The following is a 25,676-nucleotide window of genomic DNA, read 5'->3' as shown; positions in this document are numbered from 1 at the left end:
CATCAGCCTTCTATATATGAAAGCCACATTTGAGATGTGAGCATAATCAAGTAGTTTAAGCTTGTGACTCTGTTTCCTTTTTACTGGAAAATGGGAACAAGTAAGATGAAAAGCCGTATACTCATGTTAAGAAGTATTCACAAAATACCTTTTAAGTCCTTGAAGGAACTTCAGACATTTTATTCAGTTTTCCATACATCTTTTGACAGAAAGTAGATTCTGTCCTCATTCTCAGGGACCTGAGACAGCATCTCCATAATAGCACTAAACTATTTTAAAAGTAGAAAAAATGAATGCCTGGCGTGGTGGCATGTAAGGTGGTGTGCACTGTGGCACACACCTGTAATCCCAGCTACTTGGGCAACTGAGGCAGGAGGAAGGATTGCCTGAGCCCAGGAGAGCTCTGGGCGACATAGCGAGAACCTATCTCTATTTTTATTTTTAAAAAATTAAATTAAAAAGTGGAAAAATGGTAAACTCAAGTATTTGAAAGTTATTAAGGGATTAAAATAATTTCAATTTGGACTGAGACAGAAAATTTGATTATTTTTAAGCGATATTAAAGTGGGCAACTATTAGAGGTAGTTTTGTTTTTTCCTCTCCCTATAATTTAGGTTAGTGACCTAAAACCATTAGGCAGGTGTATAGTAAGACAAATGTAATGTTCAGAAACAGTTTCTTTAAGAATCCTTGGTGGACTTCTATTAGTGAATTACTTAGGGAGAAGAGCACAGATACATCTACTTGTTGGGGAAAAATCTCAGTGTTTGTTTTTAGTTTCTTGTTATAACTAAGGAATACCTGTTTTTTTTTTATTAAAAAATTTATTTTTAACTAAGTTTTTTTTGAGACAGGGTCTTGCTTTGTCACCTAGGCTGGAGTGCAGGCGATCACGGCTCACTGCAGGCTTGACCCCACCAGGCTCAAGGGATTTTCCTGCCTCAGCCTCCTGAATTGCTAGGGCTACAGGTGCATGCCACCATGCCTGGCTAATTAAAAACATTTTTTTGTGCGGGTGTATGAGTAGGGATGGGGTTTTGCTATATTGCCCAGGCTGGTCATAAACTCCTGGCTTCAAGTGATCCTCCCCCCTCAGCCTCCCAAAGTGCTGGGATTACAGGCATGAGCCACTACGCCCAGCCAAAGGAATACCTCTTTTATACTAGGGAAATGTAAGTATCTATTATGCAAACAAATTGCCTTATTGTAATAACCTTTCAATGGTTCCATATGCAACTTGAGCAAATCTTTGAGATTCTAACTAATAGTTCATGATGACATTGTCATCTGTGTCCTAATGAACATGTTTGTAGCCTGGTGACTGACAATATAGAATTATATTTCAATTATTTCTTAAAGTTATGTAATGATGACTGTACCATTAGTCTAGGTAGGAGTTTGCAACACTGATGCAACCTCTTCCCCGCAACCATTGGAAGGCTTTTTGCAAAAGACATGCATTAAGATTGTTAAATAGAAATGAAACTATTGAAAATGTGAGGAAGCAAGTGCATTGTTATAAGGAGAAGTTTTTTTTTTTTTTTTTTGAGACAGGGTCTCACTCTGTTGCCCAGGCTGGAGTGCAGTGGCACGATCTTGGCTCACTGCAGCCTTGACCTCCTGGGCTCAAGTGAATAAGGAGGAATTTTAAACAATTATTTTATTTCTCTTTCTTTCTCATCCTTTCCTTTTCCTTTCCTCTTTTTCTTTTTTCTCTTTTTCTATATGAAGGAATATTTGAAATTGCATTTTAGTAGCCCGAGTACAAAGGGAAAGATGAGTTACTTTATTCTGTTAAATTCTTCTTTCAAAGACATGGTGCTTCCTGCTATTATTATTATTATTTTTTTTGAGACAGAGTCTCACTCTGTCGCCCAGGCTGGAGTGCAGTGGTGCGATCTCGACCCACTACAACCTCCGCTTCCTGGGTTCAGGTGATTCTCCTGCCTCAGCTTCCTGAGTAGCTGGGATTACAGGCATTGGCCACCAAGCCCGGCTAATTTTTGTAGTTTTAGTAGAGACGGGGTTTCACCATATTGGCTAGGCTAGTCTCAAACTCTTGACCTCAAGTAATCTGCCCTCCTCGGCCTCTTAAAAGTGCTGGGATTATAGGTGTGAGCCACGGTGCCTGGCCCCTGCTATTATATTCTAAAGAGAATTGACCCTATAAGGGAAATGAGAACCCAAAGAGGGAATTGTTTTAATACTTCATAGTAAATATTGAAGCAACCTTGATATACTTATATATCTCCTCTCCACAAAAGACCTAGATGGCATTTTTAGGTTATATCTTCTGATGCTAGTCTGAAGCAGATGTTATTTCTGTGTTGCCTGGTGGAAGGAAGATTGATTTTGTTTTATATTCCAGATAAACTTATGTTAGGTTTAACGTATTTTGTGAAATTAGAAGCTTAATCGTGGTTTTTTTTTTTTTTTTTTTTTTGAGATAGGGTCTCACTCTGTTCCCCAGGCTGCCCAGGCTGGAGTGCAGTGGTACTACGATCACCACTCACTGCAGCCTCGACCTGCAGGCTCAAGTGATCCTCCCAGCTCAACCTCCCAAGTAGCTGGGATTATAGGCATGTGCCACCACACTTGGCTACTTTTTTTTTCTATTTTTTTTTTTTTTTTGTAGAGATGGGGTCTCACTTGTTGGCTAGGCTGGCTAGGCTGGTCTTGTACTCCTGTGCTCAAGTGATCCTCCCACTTCGGCCTCCCAAAGTGTTGGGATTACAGGCATGAGCCAGCATATCCAACTTTAACCAGTGTTCTTAACCAACCACTGTTCTCTTCTCAACCCATTAGAAGGCCTGTCTAGTTCTCCAGGGAAGTAGTTGAAAGTACTTGGGATCAAACTTAAACCAGCTTACCATTTGTAAGGTACTCTCAGAATAATTTTTTTAGTGAGAAATGTTTAATAGCTAAATGACATTTTCTTTCTTTGTTTTTGTTTTTGAGATGGGATCTTGCTCTGTCACCCTGGAGTGCAGGCTGGAGTGCAGTGGTGCGATCATGGCTCACTGGTGTGATCTTGGCTCACTGCAGTCTCAACTTCCTGGGCTCTGGCGATCCTCCCACCTCAGCCTCCTGAGTAGCTGGGCCCACAGGCGCGTGCTACCATGCTCTGCTAATTGTTTGTGTTTTTGGTAGAGACAGGGTTTCACCACGTTACGAGGCTGGTCTTGAACTCCTGAGCTCAGGTGATATTACCAGGCTGGTCTCGAACTCCTGAGCTCAAGTGATTCACCCACCTTGGCCTCCCAAAGTGCTGGGATTACAGACGTGAGCTACTATGCCTGGCCTGACATTTTCAAACTAAATATTTAATTTAGTAGATGCTCTCCATTGCCCTTATTTTTTATTTTTATTTTTTCTGAGACAGAGTCTCGCTCTGTTGCCCAGGTTGGAGTGCGGTGATGCAGTCTTGGCTCACTGCAACCTCTGCCTCCTGGGTTCATGCGATTCTCCTGCCTCAGCCTGTAGAGTAGCTGGGATTACAGGTGCGCACCACTGCGTCCAGCTAATTTTTGTATTTTTAGTGGAGACGAGGTTTCATCATGTTGGCCAGGCTGGTCTCAAACTCTTGACCTCAACTGATCCACCCACCTTAGCCTCCCAGAGTTCTGGGACTACAGGTGTGAGCTACAGTGCCCGGCTTCCATTGCCTTTTTATTTTTTGGTTTTGAACATATTTGTGAAACCTAGAAGTGAATTGTTGACCAGCAAAAGTTTACTCTGTTGACTTTTAATAACCTTACCCTGCTCATCCTGATGATAGGGTATTGACATAATCAGAAGGCACAGAGGTGAGCTGCAAGGTTATGTATAATCTGCAAAGTAGATAATCTCTCTGTGGATGATTGTAATCTGGCATCTTATTTAGCCTTAGATGTGATATATAAGCAGGTTCTGTAAGTCTTAAAATTATTTGTTTCATTGACTAGAAAAAGGATTACTAGATATAAAAGAGTAAGAAACTCTTCTATATGAATTCATTGGCTCTCTTTAAAGCCTTGTGCAACATGGAAGAATTTTTTTCTAAATTGTGAAATGTAATGAAAATACAGAGAAGTCATGAAACCTCAATATAGAGCTTAAAATAATCACTGTAAGATGCACCCCCATGTAACTTACACCCAGGTCAAGGCAACATACTGTTTGTTCCCGATCAAACCTTTCCCACCTCTCATGTAGTAAACATTATCCTGACATTTATGGTTTTCCTCTTGATTTTTCTCTTTTTTTAACCTTGCATCTTCAACTCAAAGAAACTTTCTTGATTTTCTTTGCAGTGTCATTACCCAATATGTTTAATTTTTTTCTTGAACTTCATATAAATGAAATCATTGAATATTTATCCTACTGTTTCTGGCTGCTTTTGTTCAACAGTTATGACTTTTAAGATTCATCCATATTGTATGTTTGCAGTTCATTGATTTTCCTTTTTTTTTTAGTTCATTCATTTTCATAGTTGCAAGATACTCCATCGTATACCAGTATTTGTTTATTTTTATGCTGTCTTGTTAAACATTTTTGTTGCGTCTAGTTTTTGGCTATTACTAACAGTGCCAATAGAAACATTATTATACAACAGTTTTGGTGTATACAAGCATGTGTTTTTGTGGAGTATATACTAGGTGTAGAATCTCTGGGTTATAGGTTACACTTTAGCTCTGTTAGATATTGCCAGGCTATTTCAGTGTACACTCCCACCAGCAGTGTATGAGTTGACCTTGTTTCACATTGTCACTATGTTTGATATTGTCAGACTTAAATTTTTTGTAAATATGTATGTAATTTTACTGTGGCTTATATTTCCATGAGCATCTTTTTATATGTTATTGGTCATTTGGAGTACTTCTTTTTTTTTGTTTGTTTGAGACAGAGTCTTGCTCTGTCGCCTAGTTTGGAGTGCGGTGGTGGCGTGATCTTGGCTCACTGCAACCTCTGCCTCCCGAGTTCAAGCGATTCTTGTGCCTCAGCCTCCTGAGTAGCTGGGATTACAGGTGTGTGCCACCACACCTGGCTAATTTTTGTGTTTTTAGTAGAGACAGGGTTTCACCATGTTGGGCAGGCTGGTCTTGAACTCCGGACCTCCGATGATCCGCCCGCCTTGGCCTCCCAAAGTGCTGGGATTACAGACGTGAGCCACCACGCCTGTACTGGAGTTCTTATTTCTTTTTGTGAAAGGTCTCTGTCATATCTTTTGCCTTTTTTGTTATTGAGTTGCTTGAGTTTCTTTCACTGATTTGTAGGGGTTCTTTATATAGTCTGTATTTGAGCCCTTTTTGGGTTACACTGCATGTGTTACAACTGTCATTTTTTTTTAATTTTAAGTTCTGGGATACATGTGCAGAATGTGCAGGTTTGTTACATAGGCATACATTTGCCATGGTGGTTTGCTGCACCTATCAACCTGTCATCTAAGTTTTAAGCCCCACGTGCATTAGGTATGTGTCCTAATGCTCTCCCTCCCCTTGCTCCCCAACCCCCAACAGGCACCAGTGTGTGATGTTCCTGTCCCTGTGTCCATGTGTTCTCATTGTTCAGCTCTCACTTATGAGTGAGAACATGTGGTGTTTGGTTTTTTTGTTCCTGTGTTAGTTTGCTGAGAATGATGGTTTCCAGCTTCATCCATGTCCCTGCAAAGGACATGAACTCATCCTTTTTTATGGTTGCATAGTATTCCATGGTATATATGTGCCACATTTTCTTTATCCAGTCTATCATTGATGGGCATTTGGGTTGGTACCAAGTTTTTACTCTTGTGAATAGTGCTGCAGTGAACATACGTGTGCATGTGTCTTTATAGTAGAATGATTTATAATCCTTTGGGTATATACCCAGTAATGGGATTGCTGAGTCAAATGGTATTTCTGGTTCTAGATCCTTGGGGAATCACCACACTGTCTTCCACAATGGTTGAACTAATTTACTCCCCCACCAACAGTGTAAAAGCGTATCATCGGCAGCAAATACTCTGTTGTTTTCCTTGAAGTGACAGGCTCACTTGGTTCAGTTTTGAGAAAATGCCTGTGAAAGACCCATGTCTTAAAAACCATAGTTTGCTTTTCTTTCAAGTAAAAAATGGTGTTTCATAAAAACAAGCTAGTTCAGCTTGCAATTCAAACAATCGCACAAGTGCTTTACCTGTAGACAAATACTGTGGTTGTATTTGGGTGTGTGGCAGAAATTATTTATGCAACCTTTTAAATTTCATCATATAGGCTATTGAAAGGATGTGTTATTTTTTAATTTTAATTTTTTTTTTTTGGAGATAGAGTCTTGCTCTCTCGCCTAGGCTGCAGTGTAGTGGTGTGATCTCGGCTCACTGCAACCTCTGCCTCCTGAGTCCAAGCGATTCTCCTGCCTCAGGCTCCCGAGTAGCTGGGACTACAGGCATGCACTACCACGCCTGGCTAATTTTTGTATTTTTTAGTAGAGATGGGGTTTCACCATTTGGTCAGACTGGTCTTGAACTCCTGACCTCAAGTGATCCGCCCTCCTCGGCCTCCCAAACTGCTGGGATTACAGGCGTGAGCCACCATGCGAGCCAAAAGGATGTGTTCTTAAAAAAAGACATGCTTGCCCAGGCACAGTGGCTCATTCCTGTAATTCCAGCAGTTTGGGAGGCCGAGGTGGGCAGATCACTTGTGGTCAGGAGTTCGAGACTGGCCTGGCCAACATGGTGAAACTCCATCTCTACTTAAAATACAAAAATTAGCCAGGCATGGTCGTGCACACCTGTAATCCCAGCTACTCAGGATGCTGAGGCAGGAGGATTGTTTGAGCCTGAGAGGTGGAGGCTGCAGTGAGCCAAGATAGTGCCACTGCACTCCAGCCTGGGAGACAGAGCAAGACTCTGTCTCAAAACAAACAAACAAACAAAAAAAACCAGCAACAACAAAAAAACCCCAAAACAACATGTTCTTAGGGTTCAGGATTTAACAAAATTAACAATTTTTAAGTAACTTTTTTACTGTGGTAAAAAAAAACACCTAACATGAAATCTACCTTCTTAGCAAATTTTAAGTGAGCAGTACAATATTGTCAACTATAAGTACAATGTTAGCAGATCTTCTCCTGATCTTTTTCATCTTCTATGAGCTGAACTTTATATCCATTATACACCAACTCCCCATTTTCCCCTTCCTGCAGCCTCTGACAACCACCATTCTACTTTTTGCTTCTGAGTTTGACTACATTAGATACTTTATATAAGTAGAATCATACAGTATTTGTCCTGTGGCTGTCTTCTTACCTTAGCACACTGTCCTTAAGGTTCATCCACATTGTAGCACATGACAGGATTTCCTTCTTTTTTTTATGGCTGAATAATGTTTACTTTCATAGATATACATGACGTTTTCTTTATTTGCTCTTCTGTTGGTGGACATTTAGGTTGTTTCTACCTCTAGGCTATTGTAAATAATGCTGCAGTGAACATGGGAGTGCAGCTATCTCTGTGCGATCCTGACTTAAATTTTTTTGGATAAGTACTCAGAAGTAGGAATGCTGGATCATTTGGTAGCTCTACTTTTCATTTTTTGAGGAATCTCTATACTGTTTTTCATAACAATTGCATTATTTTATTTTATTTAATTTTTTTCGAGAGATAGGCTTTTGCTTTGTCACCCATGCTGGAGTGCAGTGGTGCAATCATAGCTCACCGTAACCTTGAACTCCTGGGCTCAAGTGATTCTCCTGCCTCAGCCTCCTAAGTGGCTGGGACTATAGGGATGTGCCACCATGACCCGCTAATTTTTAAATTTTTTTTGTAGAGATGGAGTCTTGCTGGGTTGCCCAGGCTGGTCTCGAACTCCTAGCCTCAAGCAATTCTCATGCCTCGGCCTCCAAAAAGACTGGGATTGCAGGTGTGAGCCACATGCCTGGCCTATTTTTTTTCTTTTTTTTGAGACAAGGTCTCACTCTGTTGCCTAGGCTGGAGTGCATGGCATGATCTCAGCTCACTGCAGCCTTGACCTCCTGGGCTCAAGTGATCCTCCCACCTCAGCCTCCCAAGTAACTGGGACTATAGGCCTGCACCACCATGCCGGGCTAGTTTTGTCTATTTTTTGTGGAGATGAGGTCTCTTTGTTACCCAGGCTTATTATTTTTTATTTTTGTTTTTGAGACAGCATTTTGCTTTGTTGCCCAGGCTGGAGTGCTGTAGTGAAATCATAGCTCATCATAACCTGAAACCCCTGGACTCAAGCAATCCTCCCGCTTCAGCCTCCCGAGTAGCTAGGACTCACACCACAATGCCTATTTCTTTCTTTTTTTTTTTTTGTAGAGACAGGGTCTTGCTATGTTGTTCAGGCTGATCTCCAACTAACCTCAAGGAATCTTCCTGCCTCGGCCTTGCAAATTGCTAGAATTACAGGCATGGGCCACCGTGCCTGGCTGGCATCACCATTTTCTTTTATTTTGGAAATATGTTTTATTTTTTAATTTTTTTTTTTTGAGACAGGGTCTCACTCTGTTGCCCAGGCTGGAGTGCAGTGGCGTGATGTCAGCATATGTTGATTGTAGAGATGGAGTCTTGCTAGGTTGCCCAGGCTGGTCTCAACTCCTAGCCTCAAGCAATTCTTATCCTTGGCCTCCGAAAAGGCTAGGATTGCAGACCTGAGCCACCACGCTTGGCAAGAGTTCCCTTTTATCCACATCTTCGATACTTATTTTTTGTCTTTTTGATAATAGCCATTCTGACAGGTGTGAGGTGGTATCTCATTGTAGTTTTAATTTGCATTTCCCTAGTTATTAATGATTTTGAGGTTTTTTTTTCTGTTGGTCATTTGTATGTCTTTTGAGAAATGTCTACTCAAGTCCTTTGCCCATTTTAAAATTGGGTTGTTTTCTTGACTTCTTTTTTTTTTTTTTGGGAGACGAAGTCTTGCTTTGTTGACCAGGCTGGAATGCAGTGGCACCATCTCTGTTCACTGCAAGCTCTGCCTCCCGGGTTGACGCCATTCTCCTGCCTCAGCCTCCCGAGTAGCTGGGACTACAGGCGCCCGCCACCACACCCGACTAATTTTTTCGAATTTTTTTAGTAGAGACAGGGTTTCACCATGTTAGCCAGGATGGTCTCGATTTCCTGACCTCATGATCCGCCCACCTCGGCCTCCCAAAGTGCTGAGATTACAGGCGTGAGCCACCGTGCCCGGCCCCTTGACTTCTTTATATATTTTGGATATTAACCCCATATTTGATGTTTGGCTTGCAAATATTTTCTCTGAATCCATAGGTTGTCTCCATCACACTGTTAATTGTTTCCTTTCCTGTGTAGAAACTTTTTTTTTTTGAGACAGAGTCTCGCTCTGTTGCCTAGGTTGGAGTGCAGTGCCGCGATCTTGGCTTACTGCAATCTCTGCCTCCTGGATCCAAGCGATTCTCCTGCCTCAGCCTCCTGAGTAGCTGGCATTACAGGCATGCGCCACCATGCCCGGATAATTTTTGTATTTTTAGTAGAGAAGGGTTTCTCCATGTTGGTCAGGCTTGTCTTGAACTTCTGACCTCAGATTATCTGCCTGCCTTGGCCTCCCAGACTGCTAGGATTATAGGTATGAGCCACTGCACCCGGCCTCCTGTGTAGAAACTTTTTTTGTTTGATGTAATCCCATTTGTCTATTTTTGCTTTAATTACTTGAGCTTTTGGGGTCAAATCTAAAAAATTATAGCCCAGACCAGTGTTGTGTAGCTCTTCCCCTATTTTTTCTTTTAGGATTTTTATAGTTTCAGGTCTTACATTTAAGTCTTTAATTCATTTTGAGTTGATTTTTGTATATGGTGTGAAGTAAGTGTCCAGTTTCATTGTTCTGTATGTGGATATTAAGTTTTCCCAACATTCTTTATTGAAGAGACTGTCTTTTTTCCCATTATGTGTTCTTGGTACCCTTTGTTGAAAATTAATTGGCTATAAATGCATGGATTAATATCTGCGCTCTCTATTCTGTTCCATTGGTTGATGTGTCTGTTTTTATGCCAGCGCCATGCTCTTTTAATTACCCTAGTTTTGTAATATACAGTTGGCTGGCCTTATATTTAGTGGGTTGGCTGCATCCACAGATTCAACCAACTGCAGATCAAAAGCTGTGGATATGGAGGGCTGACTGTTAAGTATTTTTCTATCTACAGTTGGTTGAATCCGCAGATGCGGAACCTGCGGACGCAGAAGGATGACTGTATATATGCCATATATAAGGGACTTTTGAGCATCTGTGAATTTGGTGTGTGTGGGAGATGGTCCTGGAACCAATCCCCCGTGGATACAGAGGGCCAACTGTACCTTGAAGTCAAATAGTGTGATACTTTAGCTTTTTTCTTTTTGTTCAGGATTGCCTTGGCTATTGGTTTTTTTTTTTTTTTTGGTTCCATATAAATTTTAGGATTTTTCTGTTTCTGTGAAAAATGGCATTGGTGTTTTGATAGAGATTGCATTGAGTCTTTATATCTCTTCGGGTAGCATGGACATTTAAACAATCTTAATTATTCTAATCAATCAGCATGGAATATCTTTTCATTTATTTGTCATCTTCAGTTTCTTTCATCAGCATTTGATAGCTTGTGGTGTATGGATCTTTCACCTCCTTGGTTAAATTTATTACTAAGTATTTTATTTTTGTAGCTATTATATTTTTATTTTTATTTTTCTCTTTTTGCCATTCTTGCAATGCTACAATATAGCTATTTTAAATGGAATTAAAAATTTTTTTCAGGTAGTTCATTGTTAGTATATAGAAACACTACCTATTTTTGTGTGTTGATTTTTATATCCTGTGATTTTACCCTATTTATTATTTCCTTTTTTAAAAAAATTTTTTTGCCTTGATGGATACAGTATATTTATTATTTCTAACTTTATGGTGTAGTCATTAGGATTTTCTAAATATAAGATCATTTTGTCAGCAGAGACAATTTCACTTCTTTTCTTGTTTGGATAACTTTCATTTCTTCTTTTTGCCCAATTGCTCTGGCAAGGACTTTTAGTACTCTGTTGGATAGAAGTGGAGAGAGTGGGCAGGTACCTGATCTTAGAGGAAAAACTTTCAACTTTTCACTATTGAATATAATGTTAGCTATGGGCTTGTTATTTATGGCCTTTTTTTGTGTGTGTTGAGGAACATTCATTCTATAGTTAGTATGTATTTTTTTTTTGATATGGAGTCTTGCTCTGTCGCCCAGGCTGGAGTGCAGTGGTGAGATCTCGGCTCACTGCAGCACTGCAGCCTCCACCTCCTGGGTCCAAGCGATTCTCCTGCCTCAGCTTCCCAAGTATCTGGGATTACAGACGCACGCCATCACACTCGGCTACTTTTTTTTTTTTTTTTTTTTGAGACAGAGTCTCGCTCTGTCGCCCAGGCTGGAGTGCAGTGGCGCCATTTTGACTCACTGCAAGCTCCGCCTCCCGGGTTCACGCCATTCTCCTGGCTCAGCCTCCCGAGAAGCTGGGTCTACACGCGCCTGCCACCACACCTGGCTAATTTTGTTTTTGTATTTTTAGTAGAGACGGAGATTCACCGTGTTAGCCAGGATGATCTCGATCTCCTTACCTTGTGATTCACCCGCCTCGGCCTCCCAAAATGCTGGGATTACAGGCGTGAGCCACCGTGCCCGGCCCACACTCAGCTGCTTTTTATATTTTTAGTAGAGATGGGGTTTCACCATGTTGGCCAGGCTGGTCTCCAATTCGTGACTTCAAGTGATCCACCTGCCTTAGCCTCCCAAAGTGCTGGGATTACAGGCGTGAGCCACTGCGCTCAGCCTCTATAGTTAATTGTTGAGAGTTTTATCATAAGGATATTGAATTTTGTCAAATGCTTTTTCGGCATCTAATGAGATGATCAAGTGATTTTTATCCTTCATTTTGTTAGTGTAATGTGTCACATTTAGTGTATGTTGTACCATCCTTGCATCCCAGGGATAAATCCATTGTGATCATGGTGAATGATCCTTTTAATGTGCTGTTAAATTCTGTTTGCTGGTGTTTGTTGAGGATTTTTTCATCTGTGTTTATAAGAGGCATTGACCTGTGATTTTCTTTTCTTGTAATGTTTTTGTCTGGCTCTGGTATCATGGTGTAGTAGCCTCTTATATTCCTTTTTGTTTCTGTGTAATTGGTTGTAATGTTTTCTCTTTTGTTTCTAATATTGTTTGAATTTTCTTTTTCTTTATTGAATGTCTAGCTAAAGATTTGTCAGTTTTGTTGATCTTTTTTTAAAAAAAACTCTTAATTTTATTGATTTTTTTCATTTTCATTTTCTTTTTTTTTTTTTTTTGAGACAAGGTCTCACTTTGTCACCCAGGCTGGAGTGCAGTGGTGCTATCTTGGCTCACTGCAGCCTCAACATCCTGGGCTCAAGTGATCCTCCCGCCTCAGCCCCCCAAGTAGCTGGGACTACAGGCGTGGGCCACCATGCCTAGCTAAGTTTTTGTATTTTTTTTGTAGAGAGAGGGTTTCACCATGTTGCCCAGGCTGATCTTGAACTCCTGAGCTCAAGCTATCTGCCCGCCTCAGCCTCTCAAAGTGCTAGGATTACAAGCGTGAGCCACCGCACCTGGCTGATTTTTTTTTCTTCTTTAATTCTCTATTTCAGTTGTTTCTGCCCTAATCTTTATTATTTCCTTCCTTCTATTAACTTTGGACTTAGTTTATTCTTCTTTTTCTAGTTCCTTGAAGTTTTGAGTTAGGTGGTTTGAGATTAAAAAAGAAAAAGGCATTTATAGGCCTGGCTCCGTGGCTCACACCTGTATTCCCAGAACTTTGTTGGGCTGAGGTGGGCAGATTGCTTGAGCCCAGGAGTTCCAAACCAGCCTGGGTAACATGGTGAAACCCCATCTCTTCAAAATATACAAAATTAGCTGGGCATGGTGGCATGCACCTGTGGTCCCACCTAATGGGATGTTGGGGGGGTGGTGGTGCTGAGGCTGAGGTGGGAGGATCACTTGAGCTCAGGTCGAGGCTGCAGTGAGCCAAGATTTTGCCATTACAGTCCAGCCTGGGTGATAGAATGAGATACTGTGTCAAAAAAAAAAAAAAAAAAGCCTTTATTGCTACAAATTTCCTCTTTTGAACCGCTTTTGGTATATCTCATGAATTTTGGTATTTATGTTTTCATTTTCATTTGTCTGAAGGTATTTCCTAATTTCCTTTTTGATTTCATTCTTTGATTCTTTGGTTGTTCAAGAATGTGTTTAATTTCTACATAATTGTGAACTTTCCAGTTTTCTTTCTGGTATTGATATCTAGTTTTATTCCATTGTGTTTGGAAAAGATACTTGGTATGATTTCTATCTTTTAAAATTTGTTATTTGTTTGTGATCTAATGTGATCAGAATGTTAGATCACATGTTAGAGCCTGGAAAAAGGTTTGTGTGTGCTTGAGAAGAATGTAGTCTCCTTATCTTGGGTGGCATGTTATGGATATGTCCATTAAATCCATTTGGTCTGTAGTATTATTCAAGTCTTCTGTTTCCTTACTGATCTTTTGTCTGGGTATTCTATGGAAAGTAGTGTATGAAATTCCCTACTATTACTGTGTTGGTGTCTATTTGTTTCTTCAGCTCTGTGTCACATATATTCATATGCTGTTGTCCTCTGATGTGGTATGTGTATATATTTATAATTGTTATATTTTCAAAGTATATTTTGTCTAATATAAGCATAGCCACCCCTGTTCTCTCTTGGCTAACATTTGAATGGAGTATCTTTATCCATCCTTTCACTTTCAGCCTATCTGTGTCCTTAAATTTAAAACACGTTTCTTGTAGACAGCATACAGCTTTTTAAAAAAATAGCTCATCTTAAAAAAGATCAATTTAGATACTTTGTCTTTTGAACATGGAGTTAGATGTTACATTTAAGGTAATTACTGACAGGAAAGGACTTACTATTGCCATTTTGTTAATTGTTTTTCTGTGTTGTAGCTCTTCTGTTCCTCTTTTCCTCTCTTGCACTCTTCCTTTATATTTTATTACATTTTTCCTTGCAATTTGTTTGTTTAAGAGATTGGGTCACTCTCTGTTAGATTTTCCCACAGTTTGGATTTTGGTGATTGTATCCCTATGGTATCTCTTAATATATTCCTCTGTTGTCTTTTTCTGTAAATTGGTAGTTGGATCTAGATGGCTTGATCAGATTTTGATTCACACTTTTTTTCCCCCTAAAGACAACTTCATAGGTAGGTGATGCTTTCTTTTCTTTTTTCCTTTTTTTTTTTTTCCTGTCTCCCAGGCTGGAGTACAGTGGAGCGAGCAGTCATGGTTCACTGCAGCCCCAATTTCCTGGGCTCAGATGATTTGATTTTTTCACCCCAGCCTCCCGAGTAGCTGGGAGTGCAAGCATGAGCCACCATGCCAGGCTAATTTTTGTATTTTTTGTTGAGACAGGGTTTCACCACGTTTCCCAGGCTGGTCTTGACCTCTGGGCTCAAGCTATCTGCCTGTCTTGGCCTCCCAAAGTGCTGGGATTACAGGCGTAAGCCACCATGCCCAGCCTACATGGTGTTTTCTTTCATCAGAATCTGGAGGCACATAATGTGTCATAGTCTTTTTTTCTTTTCTTTTCTTTACTTTTTTTTTTTTTTTGTAGAGACAGAGTCTTGCTCTGTTGCCAGGCTGCAGTGCAGTGGCGCGATCTTGGCTCACTGCAACCTCTGCCTCCTGGGTTCAAGCAATTCTCTTGCCTCAGCCTCCCTAGTAGCTGGGACTACACGTGCATGCCGCCACGCCTGACTAATTTCTTTTGTATTTTAGTAAAGACGGGGTTTCATTGTGTTGCCCAAGCTGGTCTCGAACTCCTGAGCTCAGGCAATCCTCCCGCCTTGGCCTTCCAAAGTGCTAGGATTACAGGCGTGAGCCACTGCGCCCAGCCCATAGTCTCTTTTAGTAATATGAGCAGCCATTGGTAGATGCCTAGATTCTTTTATTAATTAGGGGTCTTAAATGGTGATATTCTAATTTCATAATTCCTTCTTTATTACTACAGAGGTATTTTTAATCTTCTATGAGTTACCAGTGGTACAGTTTGTATATGAAAGGCAGAATAAATGCTTGATTAAATTTTTTTTTACTTGCCAGTTGATATAATTTGCTTTATAAGAATCATCTCATGTTAGGGTGGAAATTGAAATACATGTTTTCTATTTTATTCTAGTTTGCATTTATGTCGGATCCTCAGTGAAAATAAAAGCCATGATAGTTCAACATACAGAGGTAAGATTTTTAAAAGTATCTTAGTTATTTCTTGATTAAAATTAGTAACTGTCTGCTTTCTATTCATTGTTAGGTATGAAAACAAAAGGTGTAAGATAGTTCACATTATATAAAGGTTTTACATGGTTATATTATAGTCAGGATTAAAACTGCAGTTACAGTAAGACTATATCTCTGTATACTGATGTTATTTGACCTGCATTATAATGATATGATATTGCTTGACTTTTGTAATTGGGGCTTGGTATATTTAGCTAAATTTCAGCAGTTGTTAGCTGTATCAATCATAAATATGACAGAAAAGATAACATGGAAAGAAAAATTGTTCTGATCTTATTTGCACTAGAAAATTTCCAGAAACTGAGGTTCAGTGTTTTTACTAAAGCTGGTTATGTTTAGGTGGTGTCTAGGGATCTTGTTAAAGGCAGTTGTCATGGGAAACATTCAAAGGAGTTGTTTACTGCATATCACAGATATGATTTATTAAATGAAATATGTAATTAAGCAGTATGTATTATAATTTTCCAGTAACTTTAGTTTCAAAGGATTTTACTATTTAACATTTTGTTAATTTAAAATTAGACATGTGGATTTGGCAAAGGAGGGGCAAAGCTAAAAGTGATTGTGTCTAGTAAGTGTAAAGCATTTACAGTAGTATTGTTGGGGGTAAAACCCACATTATTTTTTTAAATTAGAAAATACATTTTTATAACCGATATTCTATTTGAAGCCAAAAATCATTAGATAAAATTTATTATGGTCATTTAAATTATGCTTTTGTGAAAAGAAGATTAAGAACAATTTTACATATATATATATTTATTTTTGTTCTACCAAAAATCATGACTTTCATAATAGAGGATATACTTTTTTTTTTTTTTTTTTTTTTTTAAAGTAGACAGGGTCTCTTTCCATTGCCCAGGCTGTAATGCAGTGGTGGTGTAATCATAGCTCACTGCGGCTTCAAACTCCTGGGCTCAAGCAATCCTGCCACTTCAGATTCCCAAGTAGCTGGGACTGCAAGTGTGCAACACTGCTCCTTGCTTATTTATTTATTTATTTATTTGAGATGGAGTTTCACTCTTGTTGCCCAGGCTGGAGTGCATTGGTGCAATCTCAGCTCACTGTAACCTCTGCCTCCCGGGTTCAAACGATTCTCCTGCCTCAGCTTCCCAAGTAGCTGGGATTACAGGCATGTGACACCATGCCTGGCTAATTTTGTATTTTTAGTAGAGACGGGGTTTCACCATGTTGGTCAGGCTGGTCTTGAACTCCTGACCTCAGGTGATCTGCCTGCCTTGGCCTCCCAAAGTGCTGGTATTACAGGTGTGAGCCACTGTGCCCAGCCTTATTTTTTTAATTTATTTTTTGTAGAGATGAGGTGTCTTGCTATATTGCCTAGGCTGGTCTCATATTCTTGACCTCAAGCAGTCCTTTCGCCTCAGGCTCCCAAATTGTTGGGATTACTGTCATGAGCCACCTTGCATAGCTGAGGATATACTTTTTAAAGAACATTTGGGCCAGGTGCGGTGGCTCACGCCTGTAATCCTAGCACTTTCGGAGGCTGAGGTGGGTGGATCACTTGAGGTCTGGAGTTCGAGACCAGCCTGGCTAATATGGTGAAACTCCATCTCTACCAAAAAAAAAACAAAAACAAAAAAAAATTAGCTGCGTGTGGTGGCGTGTGCCTATAATCCCAGCTACTCAGGAGGCTGAGGTACGAGAATCGCTTGAACCCGGGAGGCAGAGGCTGTAGTGAGCCAAGATCACACCACTGCACTCCAGCCTGGGTGACAGAGTGAACCTTGTTTCATAAAAAGAACATTTGGGTGTGTGAGTGGAAGATGGTTTTTTTTTTTTGAGATGGAATCTCGCTCTGTCACCCAGGCTGGAGTGCAATGGCGCGATCTTGGCTCACAGCAACCTCTGTCTCCCAGGTTCAAGCGATTCTCCTGCCTCAGCCTCCCGAGTAGCTAGGATTACAGGCGCCCGCCACCACGCCCGGCGAACTTTTGTATTTTTAGTAGAGACGGGGTTTCACCATGTTGGCCAGGCTGATATCGAACTCCTGACCTCAGGCGATTCGCACACCTTAGCCTCCCAAAGAGCTGGGATTACAGGCGTGAGCCACCGTGCCCGACCGAAAATGTTTTTTTAACAAATGAAAAAGCCATTTTTCACCCTGTCATATGGGTAAGACCTGTTTTAAGAGTTAACATTCCTAGCCTGCCACCCCCCAAATTATTTTCTTGTTTATCCTGCTTATAAAATTGCATGATCACTCAAAAGATTTTTGAGGTTGATAGACAGTAATGTATTCTTGTTTAAGTTAGTTGACTGTCAGAAGTATAAGAATGTACAAAAAGACTCCTTTCTAAAAATACTTGGGTACTTTATCTTTTTTCTTCCCCGGGTTTAAAATCAGTTTTTAACATCTCAGTTAACTTTGATCTTGTTTGATAGAAACATTAGGTGGATAAAATAGAAGAATTTTCAATAAATGATAGTGTAAATAGTGTAACCATGTGACTCTGGATCTTTAATAACTATTAGATTATTGTTTATTTGCATGGTTCTGATTCACATGTGAAACCAGAAATAGTTATGAGTGTGGCCTTATTGGCTGAATTGCCATTGCTCTCCTTCTCTTACCCTTGCCTGCTTCCTTAACACATATACTCCTTGGCTGATCTCTGTCAACAGGCAGGCGTTGGTTTGAGGGGCTCCAGTTTGTTGTCCTAGCAGGAAACTGACTGAATGTCATTTCTTCAGAATCTCTTTTCTGTCTTAGGGGTTTGAGTTCGGGCAGTGTCCCCTCTGACCTTTCTCTTTCTGCCCTTCCCTTGAATTAATTTCATTTCAGGCAGGCAGTTTCCCTTGCACACACTGCTTCTCCTTGTTTCTTTTATAAATCACCTTCCCCCCCACCCCAGCCACTGCCAATGAAACAACATTGTAATGATGGCTAATAAACATGAGTAATTGGGGTACAGTGTGATATTTTGATACGTGTATATAATGTGTAATGATCAAATTAGTGTAGTTAGTGTATCACCTCAAACATTTATCATTTCTTTGTGTTGGGAAAATTAAAAATTCCTTCTAGCTATTTGAAAATAAACAGTACATTATTGTTTAAAAAAACAAACATGAGTAGTACTAGCAATATTAGACATAACCAAGAACTGGTGTCTTCAACATTCAAACCCCGCAAAAACTAAGAATCTCTAGAAGTACCTTCTCGGGGCCTTTTTTTTGAGACAGAGTCTCCCGCTCTATCGCCCAGGCTGGAGTGCAGTGGCGCCATCTTGGCTCACTGCAAGCTCCGCCTCCTGGGTTCATGCCATTCTCCTGCCTCAACCTCCTGAGTAGCCGGGACTACAGGCGCCCGCCACCACGCCCGGCTAATTTTTTGTATTTTTAGTAGAGACGGGGTTTCACCATGTTAGCCAGGATGGTCTCGGTCTCCTTACCTTGTGATCCGCCCGCCTCAGCCTCCCAAAGTGCTGGGATTACAGGCTTGAGCCACCGCGCCCGGCCTCTAGTGGCTATTCTTAAAACTACTCTTTCTGAAGTGTTAACATTAAGATAAAATATTTTATTGAATTTTTTTGTAGATAACTATAAGGTTGTAAGTTTTCCTCCTCATTGTAAATATAAAGTTTTTCACCTGCAATATAGATTTTATAGGTTTCTGTGGAACTAGCCTGACAGTTTTAAACCACCACTTACAGTTCTATGGATAAAACACAATAGGAGTTCCTAACCATTTTTAAATAGGCATTTAGAAAACTCGTGAATTAGGCTGGGCCTGGTGGCTCACGCCTATAATCCCAGCACTTTGGGAGGCCAAAGCGGGTGGATCACTTGAGGTCAGGAGTTCAAGACCAGCCGGGTCAACATGGTGAAACCCTGTCTCTACCAAAAATATAAAAATTAGCTGGGCGTGGTGGCGGACACCTGTAATTGCAGTCACCTGGGAGACTGAGGCTGGAGAAGCGCTTGAACCCAGGAGGCAGAGGTTGCAGTGAGCCAAGATTGCGCCACTGTACCCCAGCCTGGAGGGCGAGACTCTGTTTCAAAAGAAAAAAAAAATAAGAAAACTTGTGATTTAGGGACTATTCGTTGCTGCTGTGTGGATTACAATGTGATTGTTCTTATGTCACTTTAGTTTCAGCAAAATGACCCAGGTCACTTGTTCTCTATTTTAATCTCCTTCTGTGGTTAAGATTAGACTTCCCTGGTCCCCTATGAGTACCAGAGGACATATTCTCATGGGACCTTAGTTTTTGATAATTGGCTATTTTGTTCTTCTAAGTTACTGCTTTAAAAAAAAAAAGCCAAAAAAACCACCTTAATTGTCTGGAAAATTTTAAATAAGTATTATTTGTTGTTTGTTGTAAAGCATTTTATTCATGGAAATACAAAGCATAAAGTTGACCTCTTATACCTGCGATACCAAAATACAGAAATTTTTTCCTTTGTTTTTATATTGTTATTTAAAAGCACAACGTAGATATAGTTGTAAAATAGGCAGAATATATTTAATAAAGAATTCTTCATAAATAATTGGAATAATTATTAGCAATAGCAAATAGCAATAGCAAATGATTTAATGAACAAGTTAATTTTACTGCAAAATAGTATTTTCATTAAGGGGGGATTTATGTACATTTTGATTTCTATTATGTTCCTTTTTGTGGCTAGGAGTCATAGCAGGGGAGAAGTTTATTTTTATTTTTATTTTTATTTTTTGAGACAATGGTGCTATCACAACTCATTGCAACTTTGATCTCCTGGGCTTAAGTTCCCGCCTCAGCCTCCTGAGTACCTGGCATAACAGGTGTGTGCCACCACATCTGGCTAATTTTTTTTTTTTTTTTTAGTAGAGATGAGGTCTCCCTATGTTGCCCAGGCTGGTTTCGAACTCCTAGGCTCAAGCCGTCCTCCTGTCTTGGCCCCACAAAGTGTTGGGATTTTAGGTGTGAGCCACTGCGCCTGGCTAAGAAGATTTTTAAAATATTTGATTTTTTAACTTGCTGTTTGGTTCTGAAAAAATTTTGATTCCACTCAAAAGGAGATTATAAATAGACTTTATTTTACATTAGCATCTTTAAAGCTTCTTGTTTCACTACTTTTCATGATTGGAAGGAGGTAAAGTTTTCAGTATATGGGACTTAAAAAAAAGATGACCAGAAGGAGGTGTTCACCTGACCACTAACTACCCACTCCAAAACCAAAATATCTTTTTTCAGGAAAGGGGACTGTGGTAATTAATAGTGAATGTTGCTACTTGTAGTTGACAGTTATCATAGAACTGCCATTTTATACATGTATTTTTTGTTTGATTTTTATGGGACAAAGAGATTTAGATTTGGGGAGAAATTTCTCTCACACTAGGGTATGGTTAAAACTCGGTAGTATATGTACTGCTATTCTTTATCTGTTGTCACTATAGTGCTGAGATTGAATTGAGTATATATCTGAAGTCTACTGGTGAGGAGAATGATTGGTTTGAATCCACTTGCTAGAGTTCATTGAATATAATTATAGAGACTTGAGTAGCATGAAAAAATGCTTTAAAATTGTTTTGGGGGGAATCAGAATGCTATATGATGTGCATGGTGAATTTAAATATGTAAAATCTGTAGACATACAGAAAAAACTGGAAAGGAATGTTCAAGCTGTAGTTATAGTAGTGGAGAGATGGTTAACATTTTTCTAACCTTTTAATTTTGTGTTTTTGTGAAAATAAAAGAAAAAATTGCTAGAGGAAAAGCATTAGAATTATATTTTTCATTATTGATGTTTATAATAATTCTGAGACGTAGGAAATATATAGATTTACTTTTCATGTTCAAGAGACTGTATCCTTACATTATTTCTCTTATGTTCAACAGATTTCCAGCAAGCTCTCTATGAGTTGTCATATCATGTAATTAAAGGAAATCTAAAGCATGAACAGGCATCTAATGTTCTTAGTGACATTAGTGTAAGTATGTATATATTTTTTTAAGTTAATAGTTGTTATATATCTTTTTGCTTTGACACAAAGATCCCTGAAGTTTATAACTTGTATTTTATTCAAAATTATAGAAGTGGATGGATTTTTAAAATTTTATTTTTTTAACTTTTTTCCCCTCAGAACTATGGAAGTGAGTAATGGATGTTTTAAGGTGACATTGGTAACCCATTTTTGCCAGACAGGAACACAGATAGTTTAATATTTTTATCTGGTTGTTGGTAAAGTAGGAAATATCAGGTAAGCTGGTAGGGAGAAAAAAAAAAGCCTGTGCTGTAATGAAATTAAGGTATCCATGGGTGGGGGAGGGGGGAGGGATAACATTAGGAGATATACCTAATGTAAATGATGAGTTAATGGGTGCAGCACACCAACACAGCACCTGTATACATATGTAACAAACCTGCACGTTGTGCACATGTACCCTAGAACTTAAAGTATAATTAAAAAAAAAGAAGAAATTAAGGTGTCCTTAATAAAAAATGCCACTCTAAAAAAGTAAATTGGCTAAAATATTTTTCTCTCAATATAGTATAAGCCATTTTTTGTTTGTAGTTATGTTTAGAAATTAAATATATTTTAAAAATTGAGGATTAAATTATTTTAAATTGCAATTGTTTGGCTCTAACATTCACTTGGTGCTAGTTTTCATTTACTTATGGTTTAAAAAATATCGACTAGATTAAAAAAAACTCTTTTACATGGTTATTCTGTTTCACTCCTTCATTTATTGGAGAATTTAAGTTAGATTCAGACCAACTATTTTTCATGGTGGTTTGCCATTTAAATTGGAAAATGGGCTTTCAAATTGTAAACCAGTAGTTAAGCTTGAGGTTTTACAAGTGGCGTGCTGTTCTTTTATTATTAAGCTGGCTTTTAAACTTGTATATAAATAAAATTATCTTGTGTCTGTGTATATATGTGTATATATACATTTATAATGAACTTGTATATACATAAAATTCAGAATAGCTTTTATAATAGGTTTTATTAAGGTGTGGGATTTGAAGCTTCTTGGTCTCAATCTGAACTTCTCTTACTGTGTTTCTTTAATCTTCTGTAGCCTTTTTTTCTGTCAGGGGAGGTAATATTTGTATGTTTTTTGTGCTTTCCCAGGGATAGTCTTAAGGAAATTCTAAGTTTAGCTGTTGTGATTTTCCACCCCATATTGGGGTGTATTTGAGCAGTAGGAATTCTGTGAGTTTCCCTTTTGTCTCTAAATTATCTCCAGCTGATAACAACAGAATTAGTTCATGTTGGAGTAGTCAAATTCCTTTTTTTTTAACGTTAAAAAAATTCAGTTGCTACCAATCTTTCTTAAACAACTAATATTTCATTTTTGAAAACTCTTGTCTTACTCTATTTTTGATCTTCAAGTGGCCTGAGTACTTGCATTTAAATAGACATAACCAGAGTTCAGAGCCCTTAAGAAATTTGAGGCTAAAATCTGATTGACAAGGTTATTTCATTTTGTAAATTGAGCATTGGTATAGGTTTTAGTTTGTTTATGGGATCTGATTCTGATTCTTTTTTCATTTATTGAAAATGGATAGTTCAAGTGAATTTTATATATGTGTGTTTGGTTCTTACATAGCTTCTTCTTTCTTTTGAATACTTAATGATGTCTTTATAGATACTTCTGCAGCTTGATTGTCTTTGTCATGGCTTTCTCTTAGTACTATATACTGTCCAGTATCTTACCCACAGAAGAGTAACTTGTGCGTCTCCTTGCAGCTGCCAGATTTTTCTTTAGAATTTCTTTTAGTTTCTGAAAATAGGCTAATTTTAGGGTTGCTATACTGCCAGCCAACTGTTAACTGCAGTAAGTGAACTATGATCCCTTCTAATGGAAAATAGCCCTAAAATTGAGCGTGGGAGTGGAAAGTCAAGAGACAAGTCTAGAATAATGCTGAAGTTTTTATTCAGAAACAGGAGGATCCTTTTCTTTTCTTTTCTTTTCTTTTTTCTCCAAGACAGTGTCTTGCTCTGTTACCCAGGCTAGAGTGCAGTGGCACAATCTTGGCTCACTACAACCTCTGTCTCCCAGATTCAAACAATTCTCCTGCCTCAGCCTCCCGAGTAGCTGGGATTACAGGCGCATGCCACCACACCCGGCTAATTTTTATATTCTTAGTAGAGACAGGGTTTCATCATGTTGGCCAGGCTGGTCTTGAACTCTTGACCTTGTGATCCACCTGCCTCGGCCTCCCAAAGTGCTAGGATTACAGGCGTGAGCCACTGTGCCTGGCCCGATTTTGGGTCATTTTCTCCAAAGGCTACAAGAGTAAATAAAGAAAATAAAGAGAATATTGAGCTCCAAAAAAGCGGGGAGGGAGGAGGGCAATAAGGGTTGAAAAACTACCTATTGAGTACTGTGTTCACTATTTGGATGATGGATTCGATAGAAACCCAAACCCCAGCATTACCAAATATATTCATGTAACAAACCTGTACATGTACCTCCTGAAACTGAAAACTGCCCAAACCAGCTTTTAGCTTTTTAGCTGGTTTTGTATTTTCAAGATTTCTGTTTTTCTGATACCATTATGATTTTTGCATAAATCAAATATTGACTCAGGCATGAGCACAACATTTAAAGTCTTGGATGAAAAATGTACAGTTTTTAACAGTCTTCCTTTAGGTAAGTATGAGGCACTCTAAATTCACGTGATTTCTAAAACGAAACTTCTTTGGAAAAATGTTACTCATTTGTGCTCTTTATTTCCTAAAGTGCTTGTTTAGGTTTCTGTTTTTTTATCAAGTTATTTTATGGTAGACATTTAAACATTTTTTGCAAACATTATCTTCTTCCTCTTTGTTATGAAAGTTTACTTGAAGAATTTTAATATTTGTCAATATAATGATGGGGTTTTTGTTTTTTAAAAATCTTTTTTCAGCACCACCTGGAAATCAATTTTTTTTTTTTTTTTTTTTTTTAAAGACAGAGTTTCCTCTGTTGCCCAGGGTGGAGTGCAGTGGTGCGATCTTGGCTCACTGCAGCTTCCACCTCCCGGGCTCAAATGATCCTCCCACCTCAGCCTCCTGAGTAGCTAGTACACCATCACGCCTGGCTAATTTTTTTTTTTTTTTTTTTTTTTTTTTGGTAGAGATGGGGTTTCACCACATGGTCCAGGCTGGTCCCAAACTTTTGGGCTCAAGTCATCTGCCCTCCTCGGCCTCCCAAAGTGCTGGGATTACAGGTGTGAGCCACTGCTCCCAGCCATTTTTTGTTTTTAAGTTTCACAGAAGAGTGTTATTATGAAACCCTAATACTTGCTGTGTGCTTTTTTGCTATTTATTGTAATTATATTTTTAAAATTAGGAATTTCGTGAGGATATGCCCTCCATTCTTGCTGATGTATTCTGCATATTAGGTAGGTATTAAGCCTTTATTTCACCTGTAATGTGCTGTGTGGTAAATCAAATGTTTGTTAAATAAAATGTTTTAAACTAAGAATTTTACAAATGTTTCTGCAAGTCTAGAAGCAAATTGATTCTTTGTAGAGAATATAGCAATATAAGTCAAATGTCATAATCAATGTTATAAACAAACTTTAGAGGTATAATTCAAATTGTTTGAGTTTTTGACAATGTAGATTTCTATAAATTTGAGCTAAATTAAGTCATTTCAAGTTAAAAGGCCAAGTTTTCTGAGATTTTGGTAACCAAATAATCTTATTCAATGCAGGTTTTCAATGAATGATGTCAGAATCTCAGACTTAGGACTCTCAAGAAATACTTACTTTGCTCTTGTACTCTTTTGATTCTTAATTTTAGAAAGAGCAAGAAGAGCCAAAGTAATCAAAAGTACTTTTGTTTTGAGGATGAGAAACCAGCTTTGGGAATAGCAACTTCTTTATTTTTCCAGAATAAATAAGGGTTCATGCAAGATAAAAAAAGGAGTATTTCTGTGACTTAGAATGAAATGTAGTATCCGATGGCATGGATTTAAACAATAATGTTTATTATAATTTTTTTCTCTAATTTTAGATCTAGATGAAAATAACTGAGCACAGTTTTCCCTTCAGTCAGTCCTGTGCTTTCTTTTCTTTTCTTCTCTTTTTTGAGACATGGTCTTACTCTTTCGACCAGGCTGGACTGCAGTGGTGTGATCTTGGCTCACTGCAGCCTCAACCTCGTGGGCTCAAGTGATCCTCCTATCTCACCGCCATGCCCTGCTAAAATATATATATACATATAAAATATATGTATATACACATATATATTATATATACAGATATATATAATATATATGTGTATAATATATATGTATATATGTTATATATGTATGTATGTAATATATATTATATATATGTATATATGTATTTTATATATATCTGTATATATATATTGGTAGAGATGGGGTTTCACCATGTTGTCCAGGCTTGTCTGGAACTCCTGGGCTCAAACGATCTGCCCACCTGAGACTTCTAAAGTGCTGGGA

General features: G+C 38.8%; 1 protein-coding gene across 17 annotated transcripts in view; it reads left to right on the top strand.

Annotated features, from left to right (window-relative positions):
- The window catches only part of THOC2 (THO complex subunit 2), a 132,484-nt gene that overhangs the window by 4,993 nt on the left and 101,815 nt on the right, over positions 1-25,676 (top strand). For all 17 annotated transcript variants that reach the window (XR_007068195.1, NM_001081550.2, NM_001441236.1 and 14 more), the window contains exons 2-4: positions 15,152-15,210; positions 21,111-21,202; positions 24,555-24,606. Coding sequence is in view for 16 of the 17 variants with exons in the window: in NM_001081550.2 (NP_001075019.1) it covers positions 15,152-15,210; positions 21,111-21,202; positions 24,555-24,606 (203 nt within the window). In the remaining variant the exon portion in view is untranslated. The remainder of the gene's footprint in view (positions 1-15,151; positions 15,211-21,110; positions 21,203-24,554; positions 24,607-25,676) is intronic.

This window comes from Homo sapiens, chromosome X (assembly GCF_000001405.40).
Source record: "Homo sapiens chromosome X, GRCh38.p14 Primary Assembly".
In the NCBI taxonomy this organism is placed as follows: domain Eukaryota; kingdom Metazoa; phylum Chordata; class Mammalia; order Primates; family Hominidae; genus Homo; species Homo sapiens.
This window is presented reverse-complemented; position numbering and strand designations above follow the sequence as displayed.